Source organism: Homo sapiens, chromosome 12, assembly GCF_000001405.40.
Source record: "Homo sapiens chromosome 12, GRCh38.p14 Primary Assembly".
Classification (NCBI taxonomy): domain Eukaryota; kingdom Metazoa; phylum Chordata; class Mammalia; order Primates; family Hominidae; genus Homo; species Homo sapiens.
The window spans coordinates 26770631-26791296 of record NC_000012.12 but is presented as its reverse complement, the minus strand read 5'-3'; the positions used below and the strand labels follow the sequence as shown (position 1 = coordinate 26791296).

General features: G+C 43.3%; 1 protein-coding gene and 1 long non-coding RNA gene across 9 annotated transcripts in view, besides 2 other annotated features; one reads left to right on the top strand and one right to left on the bottom strand.

Annotated features, from left to right (window-relative positions):
• Positions 1 to 20666, top strand: part of ITPR2 (inositol 1,4,5-trisphosphate receptor type 2) — a 497843-nt gene that overhangs the window by 41898 nt on the left and 435279 nt on the right. For all 8 annotated transcript variants that reach the window (XR_001748686.3, XR_001748687.2, NM_001414174.1 and 5 more), the window contains one exon: positions 1070 to 1140. Coding sequence is in view for 6 of the 8 variants with exons in the window: in NM_001414174.1 (NP_001401103.1) it covers positions 1070 to 1140 (71 nt within the window). In the remaining 2 variants the exon portion in view is untranslated. The remainder of the gene's footprint in view (positions 1 to 1069; positions 1141 to 20666) is intronic.
• Positions 1795 to 4265, bottom strand: LOC124902903 (uncharacterized). Its single transcript, XR_007063253.1, has 2 exons — positions 3274 to 4265; positions 1795 to 1936 (listed from the first exon to the last, which is right to left on the bottom strand). It is a non-coding gene; the product is annotated as an uncharacterized LOC124902903 (long non-coding RNA).
• Positions 3980 to 4691: an enhancer, noted in NCBI's record as "NANOG-H3K27ac hESC enhancer chr12:26939539-26940250 (GRCh37/hg19 assembly coordinates)". NCBI's record gives its function as "activates a minimal SCP1, AML or CMV promoter by ChIP-STARR-seq in primed H9 embryonic stem cells {active_cell/tissue: H9 hESC(primed)}" and the evidence as "EXISTENCE:reporter gene assay evidence [ECO:0000049][PMID:30033119]".
• Positions 6120 to 6833: an enhancer, noted in NCBI's record as "H3K27ac-H3K4me1 hESC enhancer chr12:26937397-26938110 (GRCh37/hg19 assembly coordinates)". NCBI's record gives its function as "activates a minimal SCP1, AML or CMV promoter by ChIP-STARR-seq in naive H9 embryonic stem cells {active_cell/tissue: H9 hESC(naive)}" and the evidence as "EXISTENCE:reporter gene assay evidence [ECO:0000049][PMID:30033119]".

Here is a 20666-nt window from a genome sequence, read left to right as displayed (position 1 = left end):
ATATTCTGGAAAAAAACCTGGGTATTCACACCACGTAACCAATGGAGAAATGAATGTTAGTGAGTCTGGTATTAAGAGATCTTTCTCTTTGAACAGGGGATTCATGTCTCCTGGCTCTCGGTTCAGAGATTCAGCTTCTCTGTCTTGAAATTGTCCTACAAATTGTCTTCTCATAAATATTTTAATAGAGATTAAACATGTTGTTGTAGCTACAAAGGCAGTTTATTCATTTTACTTATATTTGTTGAGCACTTGTAGTGTGTCAGGCACTCTTCTAGAAGCAGAGAATATGTGAAGACACAAGATTCTTGATTTTATTTGTCCATTAAATGGAAACTGCCAGAAGTTGTACTAGGTACTTTAAAAATACTAAGTCATTTAATCTTTCTAACAATACTGTGAGGTAGATATTTTTATCCTTATTGTTTAGGTATAAAGAAGGAGGCCTGAAGTCACCTAGCTAGGAAGTGGCCAAGCCAGAGATTGAATGCAGGCCAGGAAGGCATAACCACCTACTCTATGGGCACTCCAGAAGCCTGATCTCATAAGCTTACACATTCCCTGTAAAACATACATACACACCGGGAAAAATAAAAGACAGGAAAATAAAAACTATGGGTAATCTGACCACTCTTAATGTTTTGCTGTGTTCCATTCCTTATATATGTATGTGTAGAAGTGTGTGTGTGTGTGTGTGTGTGTGTGTGTGTAAGCATATATGTATCTTATTGATTGGTTACCACTACATTCACTACATACTGTAAACATTTTGCAGGCCAGTGCATTTTGTTTAATGTAGTTTTAAACAGCTCCGCAGTGTTCCATGTCATGAGTTATCTAACTAGTTTCCTACCTCTTAACAATGTTTCCAATGTTTCAATTTCATAAACCAGGCTTTAATTAACATCTCTACAACCAAATCTTTTTACAGACCCATGATTGTTAAAAAGTTACTTAGTGAAGAAAGGTATTAAAACTTTTGGTAAATATTTATGCAATATCCATGTGCAGTCTGTGGTTTATGAATATGACAAGGATGTTAACAATGTAAACATGCTTTTCCTTCTAGGTTAGTGGATGACAGATGTGTGGTGCACCCAGAGGCCGGGGACCTTGCCAACCCTCCCAAGAAGTTCAGAGGTAAGAAATACATATATTTTTTTAATTGTGTGAGCTAAGAGGGAGGATTATTTTTATGTCTCAAAGTAAGTAATGTTAAAACTTTATTCAATGTGAAACTTTCAGATATAAATATGTTCACTGAAAATTCTTTCAACAATTTTTCCATTGTTTTTCTTTTACATATTGAGGGATTTACAATGAAAGAATAGTTTTGATTTTTGTTTTGCCAGACAATGGTCTATCTGTTAAAAGGAAATCTTGGTAATTAACTGTGAAAGGCTACTTGTCAAGCCAGTAAATGCAGCTGAACAGTATTTATTTATATACTTCTCTGACAGTTATAAATGTTATAGTGTTGCATTGTTAGATTTTTAATTTATCTTTGTAAACTCTCCAGGAGTGTGGCAATGATGTGTTAGCTTACTTTTTAAAATAGCAATTTTATGGTGTGTAATAACTGACAATTGTCTTAGAACTCCTAAGTATAATTTTTGAAATAGCTTGATAATTTCCTCAAATGAGAAATTGATCCTAGTAAGAGATTGATTATAACTCAACTCTTACAAAAGAAGGATTAATGGAATCTATAGAGAATCACAGAAAGCTAAAACTAGTCATTAAAAGCTTGCCCAAATCAATTTCATAATTGGTACATAATTATAATAATAAAAATAATTTTAAAATGGCATTTATTTTGAACAATGTATAACCATTCATTCTCATAATGGTGAAAAACGGCCTTAATAAAGGATTAAAAGCTGGAGAGAGACGGAGGGATTCTCAGAGCACCAGCCCAAGTGAAGATTGCTGCTTACTGCAATGGAAAAGGGAGACAGTTAGCATTGGGTTAATATTTACCATGTTTTACTCTCTGGGATAGGCATTTTATTTACAATATCTCTTATGGGAATGTTTTATTTATTTCATTTTCTCTAGACTGAGATCCTTGCAGAGAAACTGACATGCACAAAAAAATGTCCTTTGAGTTAAATTGGTCACTTTATAAGAGATCCAGATTTCTCCCCAAGTAGAGAAATTTGCGCAGAATGTGGAAGACAAACTACCCATTGGAAACACATGCAAAATCACTCAGTAGGGATACTCTCCTAACCCTGGGCAAGTGAGGTCTTCTTGCAGTAAATAGTTTCCACTGAGGATGGACTTAGAATGAAGCTACCTTGAGGGGACACGTAGGCTACTAGTATTCAGGAACAACCTGCCAGAGACAATGCAGGAAGTGTGTGTGAAATGACCCAAAAGATAAGAGGGTAGAGAAACCCTAATGGAAGGACAGATAGTGTGAATAAAGGTAGATTCTGAAAAGAATGAGCTAGCACATTGTGTAAAGATGAGGAGAGAATTAGGGCTCTGGAGGAGAGATCTGAGGAAACCACCCAGAATATAGCACAGAGAGATACAAAGAAGAAGAATTTGGATGAGTCATGAAAAGCTTGGAGGACAGGCTGAGAAGGTCCCGCAGTGTCTAACTGAATTCTAGAAGGAAAGGCTAGGGAGACTGGAATAGAGGCCATATGTGGAGGAATGTGGGTGAGAACTTGCTAAACTGAGGAAAAACACTCTTCCCCAGGTGGAAGAGGCACACTGAGTTCAGAGTAGTGATGGTAAATAACAACCACATCCACCACTAGACACTCTTTGGTGAACTATAGGGTATTAAAGACAAAGAGAAAAATTCTAAAAGCAGACTGGGACAACAAATCTGTATTTGTAGCAGGAAAAAGCATGAGGTTCAGGTTTTGACTGTACTGCTTGCTGCCTGTGTCATCTTAAGTAGGTCACCTACCTGCTTCGAGCCTCAGAGGACATCTGTCATTGGCTAATGGGAGTAGAAGTGGCTAATAACAAGAACAATGACTACCACACGAGGTTTTGTGAGCCCTGAAATATTTCCAGAGAATAAATGTAAAAGCATTTTAAGTCATTAAACAAATGGGCCGGGCATGGTGGCTCACACCTGTAATCCCAGCACTTTGGGAGGCCAAGGCGGGTGGATCACCTGAGGTCGGGAGTTCGAGACCAGTCTGACCAACATGGAGAAACCCTGTCTCTACTAAAAATGCAAAATTAGCCGGGCATGGTGGCTCATGCCTGTAATCCCAGCCACTCAGGAGGCTGAGGCAGGAGAATCACCTGAATGGGAGGCAGAGGTTGCAGTGAGCCGAGATCGCGCCATTGCACTCCAACCTGGGCAACAAAAGCGAAACTTCATCTCAAAAAAAAAAAAAAAAAAAGGATAGTCACCTTATGATAGAAAGGCATAATGCATTTCTATTAAACATATTTGACTCAACCCTTACATCATTGCCTCTTCAAGAGCAGGATTTTATTTTCTTCTTTTTGTGTTTTCCAGGCATAGTGCTCTGCCCATAGTCTCATAGTCTGTATCCCCCAAAATAGCCATTAGGTGCTTTTGGATGAGACACTCAAACTTTTTCTGGGATCATGTGATAAAACTTGGTTTCCAGGGGTGCCCACGTTTCACAGGCATGAGCCTGGGCAGCCTTACTCCTCTGTTGGTCAGGAAGAATTAATCTTTCAAAGATAAACATTTACGCTTCATGGGTGCCTTTCCTCTTTCCCTCTTTCAATCCACAGTGAAGTAAATTGTTTTAAATTTGCAAAGATTATTTTAGAGTATCTAAGGGAACCTGGGGTAACAGCTCTGTACCCACTAGGTAATTATATGCTGATACTTGGTCTCATATTATTCACTGGGCACTGGTTCAGAGCATGAATCACTTTTTCAGACACTCCATCCTTCTGGTGAAAGGCTGGCTTTTCCTGTAATCCAGTCATTGAGGTCATTATCCTTGCTGGTTTACTCTCATTTTCTACCTCCAGTTTTAGATTAAATCATTTATCTTACTACAATCATCACTGGAAAAGGAGGGTTCTTTCCTATTGGGAACTCAGGGTTCTGTCTTATCTTAAAGCTCCAGCCTTTCTCCCATGATGCATTGTTTATGCAGCTGGAGTCCCAGAGAATTCCCTGAGCTGGGCTTGCCTCTGCCCTGGCCTTCTTAACAGCCAGGAGCAGACAGTGCCTGACCAAGTGCCTCATCCTTTTGCATAGCTTGTCTTTACGGCTCTTGCCTTAGGCCATTCTCTGCATGAATATATTTCCCCCATTTTTTTTTGGCTTTAAAAGCCATTGCTGTTTCGTAGATTTGCCTCCCAGAATCACCATCCCAGCATTTCCAGACTGCCCTGCCAAGTTTCCAGAGCACCCTCCCTTATTGTTACTTTTTAGATAAGGTGAAGAAACAATAGCATATCAACAGTTCAGCTGCACCTCAGTTCCTCTTGCCTCAGCCAGACAAATGATATTCTCAAATTAATTTTAAAAGATTTTTGTTTTTCATACTCATGGTATGATTTGTTCAAGTGAATCATAACATTTTAGAGCGGGTAGGCAATTAAAAGTAAATCTAGTACAACTCCTCCAATGTTTTTGACTGTGGCAACCAAGTTCCACAGTGAAATGTTCTTTTGACTGTGTCTCATTACCTCACTTGTGAACAGAGGAAACTAAGTTTTACCAAATAAACAATTTCCAAAGGGTTATTTCAAACCTGATGGACAGCCATTTTTCGATAGAAACCATACAATAGATTGATATTAACAGAAACATAGTAGCTTTTTCTTATGCGAATAAAATTTCTTTAATGATCAAATATTCTCCATTTTTTTTTTTTTTTTTTTTTATTGATCATTCTTGGGTGTTTCTCGCAGAGGGGGATTTGGCAGGGTCATAGGACAATAGTGGAGGGAAGGTCAGCAGATAAACAAGTGAACAAAGGTCTCTGGTTTTCCTAGGCAGAGGACCCTGCGGCCTTCCGCAGTGTTTGTGTCCCTGGGTACTTAAGATTAGGGAGTGGTGATGACTCTTAAGGAGCACGCTGCCTTCAAGCATCTGTTTAACAAAGCACATCTTGCACCGCACTTAATCCATTTAACCCTGAGTGGACACAGCACATGTTTCAGAGAGCACAGGGTTGGGGATAAGGTCACAGATCAACAGGATCCCAAGGCAGAAGAATTTTTCTTAGTACAGAACAAAATGAAAAGTCTCCCATGTCTACTTCTATCCACACAGACCCGGCAACCATCCGATTTCTCAATTTTTTCCCCACCCTTCCCGCCTTTCTATTCCACAAAACCGCCATTGTCATCATGGCCCATCCCCAATGAGCCGCTGGGCACACCTCCCAGACGGGGTCCTGGCCGGGCAGAGGGGCTCCTCACTTCCCAGTAGGGGCGGCCGGGCAGAGGCGCCCCTCACCTCCTGGATAGGGCGGCTGGCCGGGCGGGGGGCTGACCCCCCCACCTCCCTCCCGGACGGGGCGGCTGGCCGGGCAGAGGGGTCCTCACTTCCCAGTAGGGGCGGCCGGGCAGAGGCGCCCCTCACCTCCCGGACGGGGCGGCTGGCCAGGCGGGGGACTGATCCCCCCACCTCCCTCCCGGACGGGGCGGCTGGCCGGGCGGGGGGCTGACCCCCCCACCTCCCTCCCGGACGGGGCGGCTGGCTGGGCAGGGGGCTGACCCCCCCACCTCCCTCCCGGACGGGGCGGCTGGCCGGGCGGGGGGCTGACCCCCCCCACCTCCCTCCTGGACGGGGCGGCTGGCCGGGCAGAGGGGTCCTCACTTCCCAGTAGGGGCGGCCGGGCAGAGGCGCCCCTCACCTCCCGGACGGGGCGGCCGGCCGGGCAGGGGGCTGACCCCCCCACCTCCCTCCTGGACGGGGCGGCTGGCCGGGCAGAGGGGCTCCTCACTTCCCAGTAGGGGCGGCCGGGCAGAGGCGCCCCTCACCTCCCGGACGGGGCGGCTGGCCGGGCGGGGGGCTGACCCCCACCACCTCCCTCTCGGACGGGGCGGCTGGCCGGGCAGAGGGGCTCCTCACTTCCCAGTAGGGGCGGCCGGGCAGAGGAGCCCCTCACCTCCCGGACGGGGCGGCTGGCCGGGCGGGGGGCTGACCCCCCCCCACCTCCCTCCCGGACGGGGTGGCTGCCGGGCGGAGACGCTCCTCACTTCCCAGACGGGGTGGCTGCCGGACGGAGGGGCTCCTCACTTCTCAGACGGGGCGGTTGCCAGGCAGAGGGTTTCCTCACTTCTCAGACGGGGCGGCCGGGCAGAGACGCTCCTCACCTCCCAGACAGGGTTGCGGCCCAGCAGAGGCGCTCCTCACATCCCAGACAGGGCGGCGGGGCAGAGACGCTCCTCACTTCCTAGATGGGATGGCGGCGGGGAAGAGGTGCTCCTCGCTTCCTAGATGGGATGGCGGCCGGGCAGAGACGCTCCTCACCTTCCAGACTGGGCAGCCAGGCAGAGAGGCTCCCCGTATCCCAGACGATGGGGGGCCAGGCAGAGACGCTCCCCACTTCCCAGACGGGGTGGTGGCTGGGCAGAGGCTGCAATCTCGGCACTTTGGGGGGCCAAGGCAGGCGGTTGGGAGGTGGAGGCTGTAGCGAGCCGAGATCACGCCACTGCACTCCAGCCTGGGCACCATTGAGCACCGAGTGAACAAGACTCCGTCTGCAATCCCGGCACCTCGGGAGGCCGAGGCTGGCGGATCACTCGCGGTTAGGAGCTGGAGACCAGCCCGGCCAACACAGCAAAACCCCGTCTCCACCAAAAAAAAACCGAAAACCAGTCAGGCGTGGCGGCGTGCGCAGGCACCCGGCAGGCTGAGGCAGGAGAATCAGGCAGGGAGGCTGCAGCGAGCCGAGATGGCAGCAGCACCGTCCAGCCTTGGCTCGGCATCAGAGGGAGACCGTGGAAGGAGACCGTGGAGGGAGAGGGAGAGGGAGAGGGAGAGGGAGAGGGAGAGGGAGAGGCAGAGGGAGAGGGAGAGGGAGAGGGAGAGGGAGAGGGAGAGGGAGAGGGAGAGGGAGAGGGAGATTCTCCATTTTTAAAAGAGAAACTGTAAACATTGGAATAAATGTAGCTGTACTGAAGAGTTGTGAAAACGTACATAGAATTCTCTTCCACTCTGTTTCCCCTGTTATTTGCATCTCACTGGGGACATTAGTTTAAACTAAGAATTTACCATTTGTACATTACTACTGACTGCATTCCAGACTTCAGTCATATTTCACCAGCTTTTCCACTAAAGTCCTTTTGACTGCATTCCAGACTTCAGTCATATTTCACCAGCTTTTCCACTAAAGTCCTTTTCCTGTTCCTGAACCCATCCATGATCCTGAGTTGCATCTAGTCATTGTGTCTCCTTAGTTTGCTCTATTCTGTGACCCGGTCTTAGTCTTCCCTGGCTTTTCATGATCTTGATACTTTTGAAGAGTACTAGCTAGGTATTTTATAGAATATGCCTTGTGTGTCTGTCTGATGCTTTTGTCATGGTTGGACTGGAGTTAAAATTTTGAGACTACCACAGACGTTATGTACTCATATAATACCTCATAATGAGGGTATTATGCCCTCATATGATACCAACAGAGTTCATCATGGGTCTTATTTTTTTGTGTACAATTTAATCGTCTTCCCTTTAATAAAGGCAGTTATTTTAATTGATTTTATATTCTTTTGCTTTTTCCTGTTCCTTTCCACCCTTCTCCCCCTTCTCTAGAAAACTCTTCTTAGTATCATTTTTCTAAAAGTCTGCATATTGATATATGTGCCATTTCTATTAGGAGAAGTCCACTTAAATCAACTTAAAGAGAGGTTTATGTCCTTCTCTTACCATCAGGGTGATAAAACACGGAAGTAATGGAGAACCCAGGGACCATTTCCTGGAGGGTGGAGGGAAGAGAAGACAGCCACTTCTCTTGGTTGATTAGGTATTTCCCAGTGTTGGGCCATTTGGTCTTGAAGGTTCCAGTTCTGAGATTCTCTGAACATTTGTCACTTGACTATTTCATAATGTACCATGCCTACCATGGGGCCACTTCTGGCAAGCAACAATCAGTTGTTTTGAAGTAATAAGTCAGAATGCTTCAGGAATTGGAACTAATATAGAGAATTTCATTGCTGTGCAATGAACACTAAAGCAGGTAGTAATTAGGGACTTGGGGGAAAATGGAGAAAATCTCTTCTTTAACTCAGTTCCTTTTCTTCAAGTAATTCAGGGAAGTCCTTTTGAAAGCTGGGCCTAACCTTTTGCCTCTGCTCATGGAGGTTACACACTCATGTGTATAAATGAAAGTGTGTTCTTGCTAGGCAGTTGCTTTGACTTTTTATGCAGTCGAACATGTCAAGCTTGTCTAACAGTGATTCTGCACTCTCAGCCCATGATGAATACTTGCTCCACCCGCTTAACAATTGCTATATTGAATTTCTTCAGGTTTGGTGTTAGAATACTTTCAGTTGTTGTTGTTGAAGACTGAAACTATTTCAGATTTGAAATCAACTAAGATTTATTGAACATGTAATACATGCTACACTGTACTTGAGGCTTCCTGTGCATTATTATTTGGTCATCACATGAAGTAGAAATTATTGCTATCCTGATTTTGCAGTGGAGAAAGTAAGTATAAGAAGTTATGCAACCATCTTAAAGTTGCTGAGCTCCTTAGTGTTAAGACTGGGACTTAAACCAAGTTCTATGACTCTAGAGCTGTTTGTTTTTAACCACTGTGCCATACTATCTATTGAATTAGTCCCACCTATAAATTCTACCTGTTAGTCGTATAAAGCCACATTGATTGAATCTAATCCTTTTCCTACACAATAGCCCTTTAACTATTTGTTTAGAATGACCATATTCCTGTGGATCTTTTCTTCTAGTCTTACTTTTTTTTTTTTAGTTCTTTTAACTGTTGCCAGGTACAAATTCTTTAGGGATTTTTCTGTCTTCATTATACTACTTTGTTTGTTTTATGGTTAGGCTCCTGTTTGTCAATTTAATTCTGAGCTGTGTATAAAGAACTGAACATAGTGCATTTGAGTTTTGTCTAATGAGAACTCCTCTCATTTTTGGATGCCACACTTGCAACCTCTGTTAGTCAGCGTTCTCTAATAGGGACAGAACTAATACAATATAGTTCTGTATAATAGGATAATAGGATGTAAAGGAGAGTTTATGTTATATACATGAGTTTATTAAGAACTAATAGGATCTCTCTCGCTCTCTCTCTCTCTCTCTCTCTCTCTCTCTCTCTCTATACATATATATATATATATATATATATATATATATATATATATACAGGGGAGTTTATTAAGTAGTATTAACTCACATGATCACAAGGTCCCACAATAGGCCATCTGAGTCCCAAAGCTGAAGAACTTTGAGGGCAGGAAGCATCCGGCACAGAAGAAAGATGTAGGCTGGGAGGCTAAGCCAGTCTAGCCTTTTCACATTTTTCTGCTGCTTTATATTCTGGCCGTGCTGGCAGCTGATTAGATGGTGCCCACCCAGATTAAGGGTAGGTCAGCCTTTCCCAGCCCACTGACTCAGATGTTAATCTCCTTTGGCAACACCCTCACAGACACATCCAGGATCAATACTTTGCAATCAAGTTGATCACTTTAATCCAATCAAGTTGACACTCAGTATTAACCATCACAAGTCCACCCCTTGTCAACTTGAACCCATAAACATCTCCTGAGCTCATACATAATCTTCAAATAAAGACAATAATAAGGTCATAATTATGCCTAACATGATACAACTGTCCTTTGTACAACCGGAAATGTACCAATCCCCAGCCCAAATACTATTACATAAAGTTAAGAATACTTAAATGCTGATATGAGGTCAATAAATCTTATGTCACATAATAAAGGAAAAAGAGAATAAAATGAAAATATTTTCTTAGTACAAGTTTATGCATATATGTACATGCTAAAATATGTTTTTAGCAAAAGGAGGAGGAAATAATCATGACACAGTCCTCGTTTTTGCAACTGATCATCTGGTCATAGCTGGTACTAATGACTACCTTCTTCTACTACCCATTCTATATTCCTTCTGCCTTCAGCAAACACCTCAGCATGTCGTGATGTTTTCCCTGGTGGAGTAACCCAAACCTTCATTCCTGAAGGGTCTGGGCCATTTGTAGTCCTGCCGGGATTGGGCTGTTTTAGTTTCTCATTGACCTTAATCACAAGGCATGGTAATACTAAGAGATGCCCCAAGGATCTCCTGTATTTCATGCATACTCTTACTTACTTCCATTGTGGAGTCATAGACTGATTTCATCTTGATAGTCTGGGTCAGTCACCCCAGCCAACACTGTAACTCCCTTCTTAGCCTGTTGACTTAAAGGTAGGAGGAACCCAAAGTGTCCAGGTGGCAATCTTAACTTCCAGTTTAATGTAATTGTGCCTCCTGGTGGCAGCATTCCTTCCTCTGGAACTAAGACCTCTAGGCCAGCAGAACATAATGTTCGAATGAACTGAAAGCAAAAATTTTGTTAGTGGATCACTAGGGGTGATGGTGAGTGGTGCCACTTCCATTTCCACCCCTTGATTCCTGGACCCGTGAATCCTGGCTATGGGAGGAACAGTGCCATATATTGGATGCTGATTCAGAACATACACAGCTTTCTGGATAACTTTGCCCCAACCCTGCAAAGTATCGTCACCTAGTTGGCATTGTAATTGTGACTTCAAAAGGCCATTCCACTGTTCTGTCAATCCAGCTGCTTCAGGATGATGGGGAACATGGTAAGTCCAGTAAATTCCATGAGCATGAGCCCACTGCTGCACTTCTTTAGCTATAAAGTGAGTGCCTTGGTCAGTGGCAATGTTGTGTGGAATACCATGATGGTAGATAAGGCCTTCTGTGAGTCCACAGATGGTAGTCTTGGCAGAAGCATTGCGTGCAGGATAGGCAAACCCATATCTGGAGTAAGTGTCTATTTCAGTGAGGACAAAAACCTCTGCCCTTTCTATGATGAAAGAGTTCCAGTATAATCAACCTGCCACCAGGGAGCTGGCCGATCACCCCAAGGAATGGTGCCATATCGAAGGCTCAGTGTTGGTCTCTGCTGCTGTCAAGTTGGGCACTCAGCAGTGGCTGTAGCCAGGTCAGCCTTGGCGAGTGGAAGTCCATATTACTGAGCCCATGAGTAACCTCTATCCCTGCCACCATAGCCACTTTGTTCATGGGCCCATTGGTGATGACAGCGGTGGCTGGGGAAAGAGGCTGAGTGGTGTCCACAGAATGGGTCATCCTATCCACTTGATTATTAAAATCCTCCTCTGCTGAGGTCACCTGTTGGTGAGCACTCACATGGGATACAAACGTCTTCACAGTTTTTGACCACTCAGAGAGGCCCGTCTACATACCTCTTCCCCAAATTCCTTTGTCACCAATTTTCCAATCATGCTTCTTCCAAGCCCCTGACCATCCAGCCAAACCATTGGCTACAGCCCATGAATCAGTGTATAATCGCACATCTGGCCATTTCTCCTTCCATGCAAAGTGCACAACCAAGTGCACTGCTTGAAGTTCTGCCCCCTGGGAAGATTTCCCTTCACTGCTCTCCTTCATGGATGTCCTAGAAAGGGGCTGTAGTGCTACAGCTGTCCACTTTTGGGTGATGCCTGCATATTGGGCATAACTATCTGCGAACCAGGCCCTAGTCTTCTCTTCCTTTGTCAGCTGATCATAGGGAACTCCTCATGAGGCCATCGATGCAGGCTGGGAGAGAGAAGGCCTGGTGGCAGGAGTAGAGACTATGGGCATTTGAGCCACTTTCTCATGTAACTGACTTGTGCCTTCAGGACCTGCTAGAGCCCAGTCACATTTATACTACTTCCATTCGATGATAGAATGCTGCTATGCATGACCCACTTTATGGCTAGATGGGTCAGAAAGCACCCAGTTCATGATAGGGAGTTCAGGTCACATGGTGACTTGATGACCCATAGTTAAATGTTCAGTTTCCACCAAAGCCCAGTACCAGACCAAGAGCTGTCTCTCCAAAGGAGAGTAGTTATCTGCAGAAGATGGCAGGGCCTTGCTCCAAAATCCTAGAGGCCTCCACTGTGATTCACCTATGGAGGCCTGCCAAAGGCTCCAAACAGCATCCCTATCTGTCACTGACACCCCAGGCATCATTGGATCTGTTGGGTCACATGGCCCAAGTGGCAGAGCAGCTTGCACAGCAGGCTGGACCTGTTGCAGAGCTTTCTGCTGTTCTGGACCCCCTCAAAACTGGCAGCTTTTCGGGTCACTCAATAAATGAGTTGGAGTAACACACCCAAATGACGAATGTGTTGCCTCCAAAATCCAAATAGGCCCACTAGATGTTGTGCCTCTTTCTGGGTTGTAGGAGGGGCCAAATGCAGCAATTTACCCTTCACATTAGAAGGAGTATCTTGACAGGCCCCACACCACTGGACCTCTAGAAATTTTACTGAGGTAGAAGGTCCCTGAACTGTAATTGGATGTATTTCTCATTCTCTGGCACGCAAATGTCTCACAAATAAGTCCAGTGTGTTTGCTACTTCTTGCTCACTGGATCCAGTCAACATAGTGTCATCAATGTAATGGACCAGTGTGATATCTTGTGGAAGCAAAAAGCAATCAAGGTCTCTCTGAATAAGATTATGGAACAAAGTGGAGAGTTGATATACCCCTGTAGTAGGACAGTGAAGGTATATTGCTGGCCTTGCCAGCCGAAGGCAAATTGCTTCTGGTGGGCCTTATGGACAGGAATGGAGAAAAAGGCATTTGCCAAGTCAATGGCTGCATGCTAGGTACCAGGAGATGTGTTAATTTGCTGAAGAAGTGAAACCACATCTGGTACAGCAGCTGCAATTGGAGTCACAACTTCGTTAAGCTTATGATAATCCACTGTCATTCTCTAAGATCCATCTGTCTTCTGCACAGGCCAGATAGGGGAGTTGAACGGGGATGTGATGTGAATCATCACCCCTGTGTCTTTCAAGTCCTCGATGGTGGCACTAATCTCCGCAATCCCTCCAGGGTTGCAATATTGTTTTTGATTTACTATTTTTCTAGGTAGAAGTAGCTTCAGTGGCTTCCATTTGGCCTTTCCCACCACAGTAGTCCTCACTCTACCAGTCAGGGAGCCAATGTGGGGGTTCTGCCAGCTGCTAAGTATGTCTATGGCAATTATGCATTCTGGCAGTGGGAAAATGACCATAGGATGACTCCTGGGACTCACTGGACCCACTGTAAGTTGAACCTGAGCTAAAACTCCACTAATTGCCTGACCTCCATAAGCCCTTACTTTGACTGGAGGACTGCCTGACATTTTGGGTCCCCTGGAATCAATGTCAGCTCAGAGCCAGTGTCCAGCAGTCCCTAAAATATCTGATCATTTCCCTTTCTCCAGTGCACAGTTACCCAGGTAAAAGGCCAAAGGTCTCCTTGGGGAAGGATGGGAGAAAGATTAACAGTATAAATTGTCAGTAGTGTAGTGGGGTCCTTCATCAAGGGGAAGGACCTCCCCTTCATTCAAGTGGTTCTAGGTCTGTAAACTGGCTCAAGTCTGAAAATTGATTGAAGGGCCATGAATCTCTGTTTTATAATTCAAATTAGTCTTTTGTCCATTCGACCTGGAAGTTTTCTGCTTCTATAAATTAAGTAGGAATGCATTTATCAATTTTACTTCTGGGAATACCGTGATTAATTAGCCAATGTCAGAGCTCTACACGAGTCAGACTATTCTGATGGTTGCTTTGCCTCTGCTTTCCATTATGGTAGTTACACCCACCGTGCCTCTGACAGTTGAATGTTACCACTTGGCCCCTACCACCTTGGGATCCAATTATTCCCATTGTATTTAAATTTTGTAGTTGAGTGACTGTTGTTCCTACTATTAGATCTGACATACAGAGAAGAGCAGTTACAGACCTCTTCAAAGATGCAGGTGCTGCCCTCACAAATCTGTTTCACAAAGCATTGGTCAAGGGTAGATCTTCTGGACCCTCCCAGCTGGGATGAGTAAAGTGACTAATCCACTCTAGGATCCCAATCTCCCTAAGCCTTTGAATTCCTTCCTCCACATTAAACCAAGGGAGATCAGGCATTTCCCGCTTGCTCACAGTGGGCCATCTTTTAACTTATATTTCAGCTAACCAAGTAAATAAACTATTTGAACCTTTTTTTAACTCTCTGAGCTGCAACATTAAATGCAGAGTCCCTATTTAGTGGGCCCAAATCAATAAATTCAGCCTGATCCAACTCTGTGTTCCTTCCACCATTATTCCATACCCTTAATATCTATTCCCATGTCTGTTTTTCAGATTTCTGCTAATATAAATTAGAAAACTCAAGCAATTCTTTTTTAGTGTAGTGCACCTCCTCATGGGTCACACTGTGAACCTCACCTCTGGGGCCTGCTAGGACTTTAGTCTAGTTATAGGTCTAGAAGCAAACAGGGGTGTTGAGGATGGCTCCTGAGGAGAATCAACATTATCTTGCCTGGCAACTGCCTAAGGGGTCCTTCCCTGTTGCTTCAGGCAGTGCAGGGTTTATCTACTCAGACAAAGGTGGAAAGGTTGATGGCAACATGAGTTGGGGAAGGGATGTTGCCACTACTGGGGATGGGGAAGATGTTTCTTCTGGCAAAAATGGTTCATCAGAGTTTACAAGCTCAGTGTCCCCAGCTTCATCAGGGTCCTCCCATACATCCCCATTCCTAGTTGCAGGGTCCCATTCTTTTCCAATCAATGCCCTCACTTTAGCAGTAGACATCTGGCAAGGCTGTGCATGCACTTTTTGTTGCAGGTCAGCCACTTGCATAAGAGCTTGTGTCTATTTTTCTACAATTTCAGCTCTTTCTCTACAGGAGATAAGACTCTCACTCAGGGCAGTCTTAGCAGATTTGAGGCTCCGTAGCTGCTTCTGAAGCCAGGAGTTAGAATCCCTGAGTTCCTCATTTTCTTTCATCACTTTGTCCAGTGAACTTAGGAGCAACCAACCAACTTCATTAGGTTCCTTGGTTCTCCACATATAATCAAAGGTATTATATATAGAGTCACTAAATTCCTTGCCTCTCATGAGTGGTGAGTCAGGAGTGTCAAATGCGTTTATTTTGCGTAACTCTTTAAACAGCTCATGCTAAGGACTATCAGTGTTCTCCATACTGTTAGAAGTAGAGTCCTTAGCATTTTTGGGTCTAATCATATTAAGCAGCCAGCTCCAGAAATCCCAAAACCAAAGAAAGAACTCCATCCTTAATATTCTGTTCCTCTAGAACCACTCCTGGTACCAAAATCTGTATTAGTCAGGGTTCTTTAGAGAGACAGAACTAATAGGATATACATATACATATATATATATATGTAAAGGGGAGTTTATTAAGTGGTATTGACTGACACGATCACAAGGTTCTGCAATAGGCCATCAGCAAGCTGAGGAGCAAGGAAGCCAGTCCGAGTCCCATAGCTGAAGAACTTAGAGTCCAATGTTCAATGGCAGGAAGCATCCAGCACAGGAGAAAGATGTAAGCTGGAAGGCTAATCCAGTGTAGCCTTTTCAAGTTTTTCTACTTGCTTTATATTCTAGCTGTGCTGGCAGCTGAGTAGATGGTGCCTGCCCAGATTAAGGGTGGATCTACTTTTCCCAGCCCACTGACTCAAATGTTAATCTCCTTTGGCAACACCCTCACAGATACACCCAAGATCAATACTTCAATCCAATCAAGTTGACACTTAATATTAACCATAACACAGCCCAATAATCTTGGGCCAGAGTCCCTGACTCTCCTCCTGCTTTTAGTCAATGGAAACTCCTGATGCTTTTTCATTTGCATCTCTGGATTCTGTTTCGTCCTTCCTGTGCTGTGTAACTGGTTCTTTGGAATCAAGTGGAGAACCTGTTACTTTTTACCTTGTTGCATTGGCTCATTGTTCTAGGTTTGTTTTAGCCTAATAAACTTGTGTTTTGTTCTTTTTCTTTTTTTTTTAAATCTTAACTCTCATTCAAATTATTTATTCTAATTCCCAACCTCATGACATCTTGAAATTTGTAAAGTTAATAAAAGGTATGTATTGTGATAATCTCATTTCATGTTATTCTGTTGTTATTGAATATATCTGAGGAGCAATAGATTAGGATAGTATAAGTTGGGGTACCTGTGGATCAGACCCTGGAAGACTTGGTAGAGGTAATCTATTTGGGAGGTGATCCCAGGAAACACAGATGAGGACTTGGGGGAAAATGGGGTGAAAGGAAGAAAAGGCAGGACAGCGTGCATTAGTGAAGCTCAATCCTGGTGGAAGCAACTGAAGCTCAGTCCTGCCAGGGCCACTGGGAAACCATGCAGAACATGCCTTGGAACCTCCTACGAAGGACAGGAAGGCTGGGGCCAACTTCCATCCACTAAGGGTTTTTGTTTGCACCAGACGGTGTTGTCATTTCGTTCCACAATACACTTCTGCACTGTTCCTGCTGTTTCTCCATGTGGCAGGGAGAGCTCTCATGCAGAGAAAAAGAGAGATCCAGGAAGTTGAGGTGGGAAGCTGTTCGCATGTTGGAAATTGTCTACTGCACTTGTTGGTGAACTTGGGCCTGAGGACACATGTTCACATTCTTGTGGATCGTCAGAATTTTATCTGTTTCTTTAATTGAAAGACCTGTGATTAGACTATAAACTGTATGAGGGTCAGGACTGTGTTAGCCTTGCGCTCTGCTCAGTCACCAAGATCAAACACAGTGTTTAGCATATTGTTGGTGCTGACTTAATTTTTGTTGAATTAATGAATACATCTCTAGAAAAGAATTATTTAATTAACTTTTCTATAAAAACAAGGTTTCACTATGTTGACCAGGCTGGTTTCGAACTCCTGGCCTCAAATGATCCTCTTACCTCAGCCTTCCAAAGTGCTGGAATTAGAGGCATGAGCCACCACACCCAGGCTAAGAACCATAATTTTTAAAGGCAATATAGTTTCAGTTCTGTCTCCAGATGCTTTTTCAGTGTCTTACCACTACCGAGCATGTAACATAGTTGTTTGATTAGTTGTTTTATGTTAAAGCAACCTGTAGACCTATTAGTTTGTTATAGTCTTAAATTCTACACCTTTAAATTTAAGTTCACAGGTGTCAGTATGGATTCTAACAAATCTTTAGTTTAAATAACAGAAGACAAAAACTTCTCCATGTATTAAGTGAAGATGTTTTTAGTAGTTTGTAATTCGCTGCTACTCAAAGAAGTTCAGAAAATTGCAGTGGATTTCCAAGTCAGGAGTTACATGCTTTATACTAAAAAAAAAAAAAAAAAAAAAAAAAAAAATTCTCCAGTTGAATGTTGTTTCTATGTTTATCCTGTGTGTTTGTGGTGAGTCATCCTGTTTATAACCCTTACTGCTAATGCCATATTATTAACCTCTTAAGTGGCAGTGGAAATTGGATAATAAGTTTACTCTCCTCCATGAGGTTTCAGAGAAGGGCCAAAGGATGAAATGAGAACACCACATTGCTTTGCCTCTTTGCCTCTCCTGTCAAAGCTAGTCAGGATTGTAAAAGTGCTTATACTTTAAAATACTTGAGCCTCTGTATTGGGAAGAGGGAAGTTGCTGTGGTTCTGAGTGATAAAGTAGGACTGTTTTGGAAGTCTCATGAACCACTGTTTAAGGCAGCACTCACACAATTAATTGTGTCTCTGAGTTATGAACAGTGTGTGAATTTTGAGTGATTCGTGGCTTTGGTTGTGAGATTCAATTGTCTCCCTTCAGAATAGGAACCAATGGGCAGAAAAGGAACAATCGTGGTGCATGTGGTATAGTGGGGTAAGAACAGCTCTCCAGCTCCCTCACTTACCCATCCTGTGTTCTGGGGTTAATTTTCATGAGCTGCAGGCTCATGTGTAAAAATCTTCCTTCCCATGGTGTATATGAAGTGAGTTGTGTGTCTAAATTCTTAGTGAGTGCTGAATAAATATGTATTTTTTCTGTATTTTAACAGCCAAGACTATTTAAGAATAGAAAGTCCTAAATATTAAAATTCTTAATTTTGAGTGCTTATAACGGCCTTTCTCCATGTTAGCCTACTTAATCCTGAATAGCCTTGTTTTACAAATGTGGAAACCACACTTTAGAGAAGCAGCATGCTCAAATCACATAGATGGTAGGTGGGAAGGTAGGCTTGTTTTTCAACACTGTAAGATCTTGGGCAGCCATAAAAAAGAATGAGTTCATGTCCTTTGCAGGGACATGGCTGAAGCTGGAAGCTATCATTCTAAGCAAACTAATACAGGAAGAGAAAACCAAACACCACATGTTCTCACTCATAAGTGGGAGTTGAACAATGAGAACACATGGACACACGGAGGGGAAAATCACATACTGGGGCCTCTCGATGGGTGGAGGACAAGGGGAAGAAGACTATTAGGACAAATACCTAATGCATGCGGGGCTTAAAATGTAGATGATGGGTCAATAGGCGCAGCAAACCACCATGACACATGTACACCTATATAACAAACCTGCATGTTCTGCTCGTGTATCCCAGAAGTTAAAGTAAAAAAAGAAAAAGAAAAAAAAAGATATTGGATACATTTAGCAGATTTATCGAATATACACCATGTGCACATACGGTACCATGTGCAATTCAGTGTATGAAGTAGTTGCTACAGTTCAGACCAGTCAGAAATGAATGCTGCTCTCAAGGAATTTATAATCTAATGAAGAAGATAAGATACATATATATATATAATACATGTATTATATATATAATACATGTATTATATATAATAATGTATTATATATAATACATGTATTATATGTATTATATATATTATATATAATACATGTATTATATATATAATATATATAATACATGTATTATATATAATATATATAAATGTGTATATTATATATATATAATATAACACAAGGTAGAAAGTGATAAGGGCTAAATCAAAAGATATGGTGACATGTTGTGGGAGGATGAAGATTTTAATTTCCTGTTTCGAGTGATGAGGAAAGCTTCTTAATTGAGATGGCATTTGGCCTGAGAGATTTGTGCCTGTAGGGAAGGACATGTAGACTTGTTGGGCCCAATATGCACCTTTATGATAAATTAGTTCCTAGGATAATGTTTGATGTGCCAAGTTCAGTTGCATTTCTTCTTTAAACAGTAATGGAATGTTTAGTATTCTTTCGAGTATAATACTGAGATGAAAGTGCCAAGCCTTTACCCCAATCCGTTCGGTCTTCTGCAGCTGTTACACGGTAAATCAATGACAACTAAATGTGACAAGAGTACCACTGCTGTAAATAACTAATATTTATTTAGTTCTTACTATATGTCAGGTAATGTTCCAACTGCTTTATATTCTATTAATGCATTTAATATTTTACAGCAATATGAGGTATATATTATTATTAAATATTATTGTCCCCATATATTAGATAAAGTGCTGTGACATAAATCCCCCCAAAGCCCAAAAAACAAACAAACAGGCCAGGCACGGTGGCTTATGCCTGTAATCCCAGCACTTTGGGAGGCCAAGATGGGCGGATCACGAGATCAGGAGATCAAGACCATCCTGCTAACACAGTGAAACCCTGTCTCTACAAAAAATACAAAAAATTAGCCAGGCGTGGTGTTGGGCACCTGTAGTCCCAGCTGCTCAGGAGGCTGAGGCAGGAGAATGGTGTGAACCCGGGAGGCAGAGCTTGCAGTGAGCCGAGATCGCACCGCTGCACTCCAGCCTGGGCGACAGAGGGAGACTCCGTTTCAAAAAAACAAAACAAAAACAATAATAATAACAACAACAAAAAACAAACAACCCACAATGACTTCTATATATAGTAGAAATGTATTTCTCTTTCACCTAATAGTCCCTAGGTGAGTGGTCCGGGACCATCTTGGCAGCTCTGTCATTCGCAGCACGTGGCTTCCAAGGTTGTTCCAGTAGTCAGCATTTCCTAGTTGGTAGAAAGGGGGTAAAAGGAATACAAGGAAAGTAGATTCTTCCTTCAGGAGGGCTCCTGGAATTTTATAAATTAGTCTCACTCATATCTCATAGTCATATAGCTTATTGAATCAAATGGTGGCCCTGCAAACTACATGTCCAAGTCTTTATGTATAATGTCTTTTTATATAACGTCTGGGCACTATAAGTGTGACATTATTAGGAAAAATGGTCTATGCAAATTAAATTAAGGATCTTGAGATGAGATCGCCTTGGATTACCCAGGTGGGTCCTAAATCTTATATATCCTTGTACAAGACATACGAATAGAAGGCGCACACAGAAGACCACATAAAGACACAGTCAGAAAATGGACTTTTGCTGCCATAAGCCGAGGAGGACTTTGAGCCACCAGAAGCTGGAAGAGGCAAAAGATTTTCTCCTAGAGCTTTCAGAGGGAACATGGCTCTACCCACACCTTGACTTTGGACTTTTGGCCTCCAGAACTATGAGAGTGTAAATTGCTGTTGTTTTAAGCCACCAATTTTGTGTTGATTTGTTGTAGCAGTCACAGGAAACTAATAAACTTGACTCCATGTTGCTGCAAGGAGCCTGAGGAACATGGTGGTTAGTGGGCTGGCCATGCGCCAACCTAAAACTACCTAAAGGAAGAAAAGAATGGATATGGGATGGGGGAGGAGTAACATTCTCTATCATATCTCATTT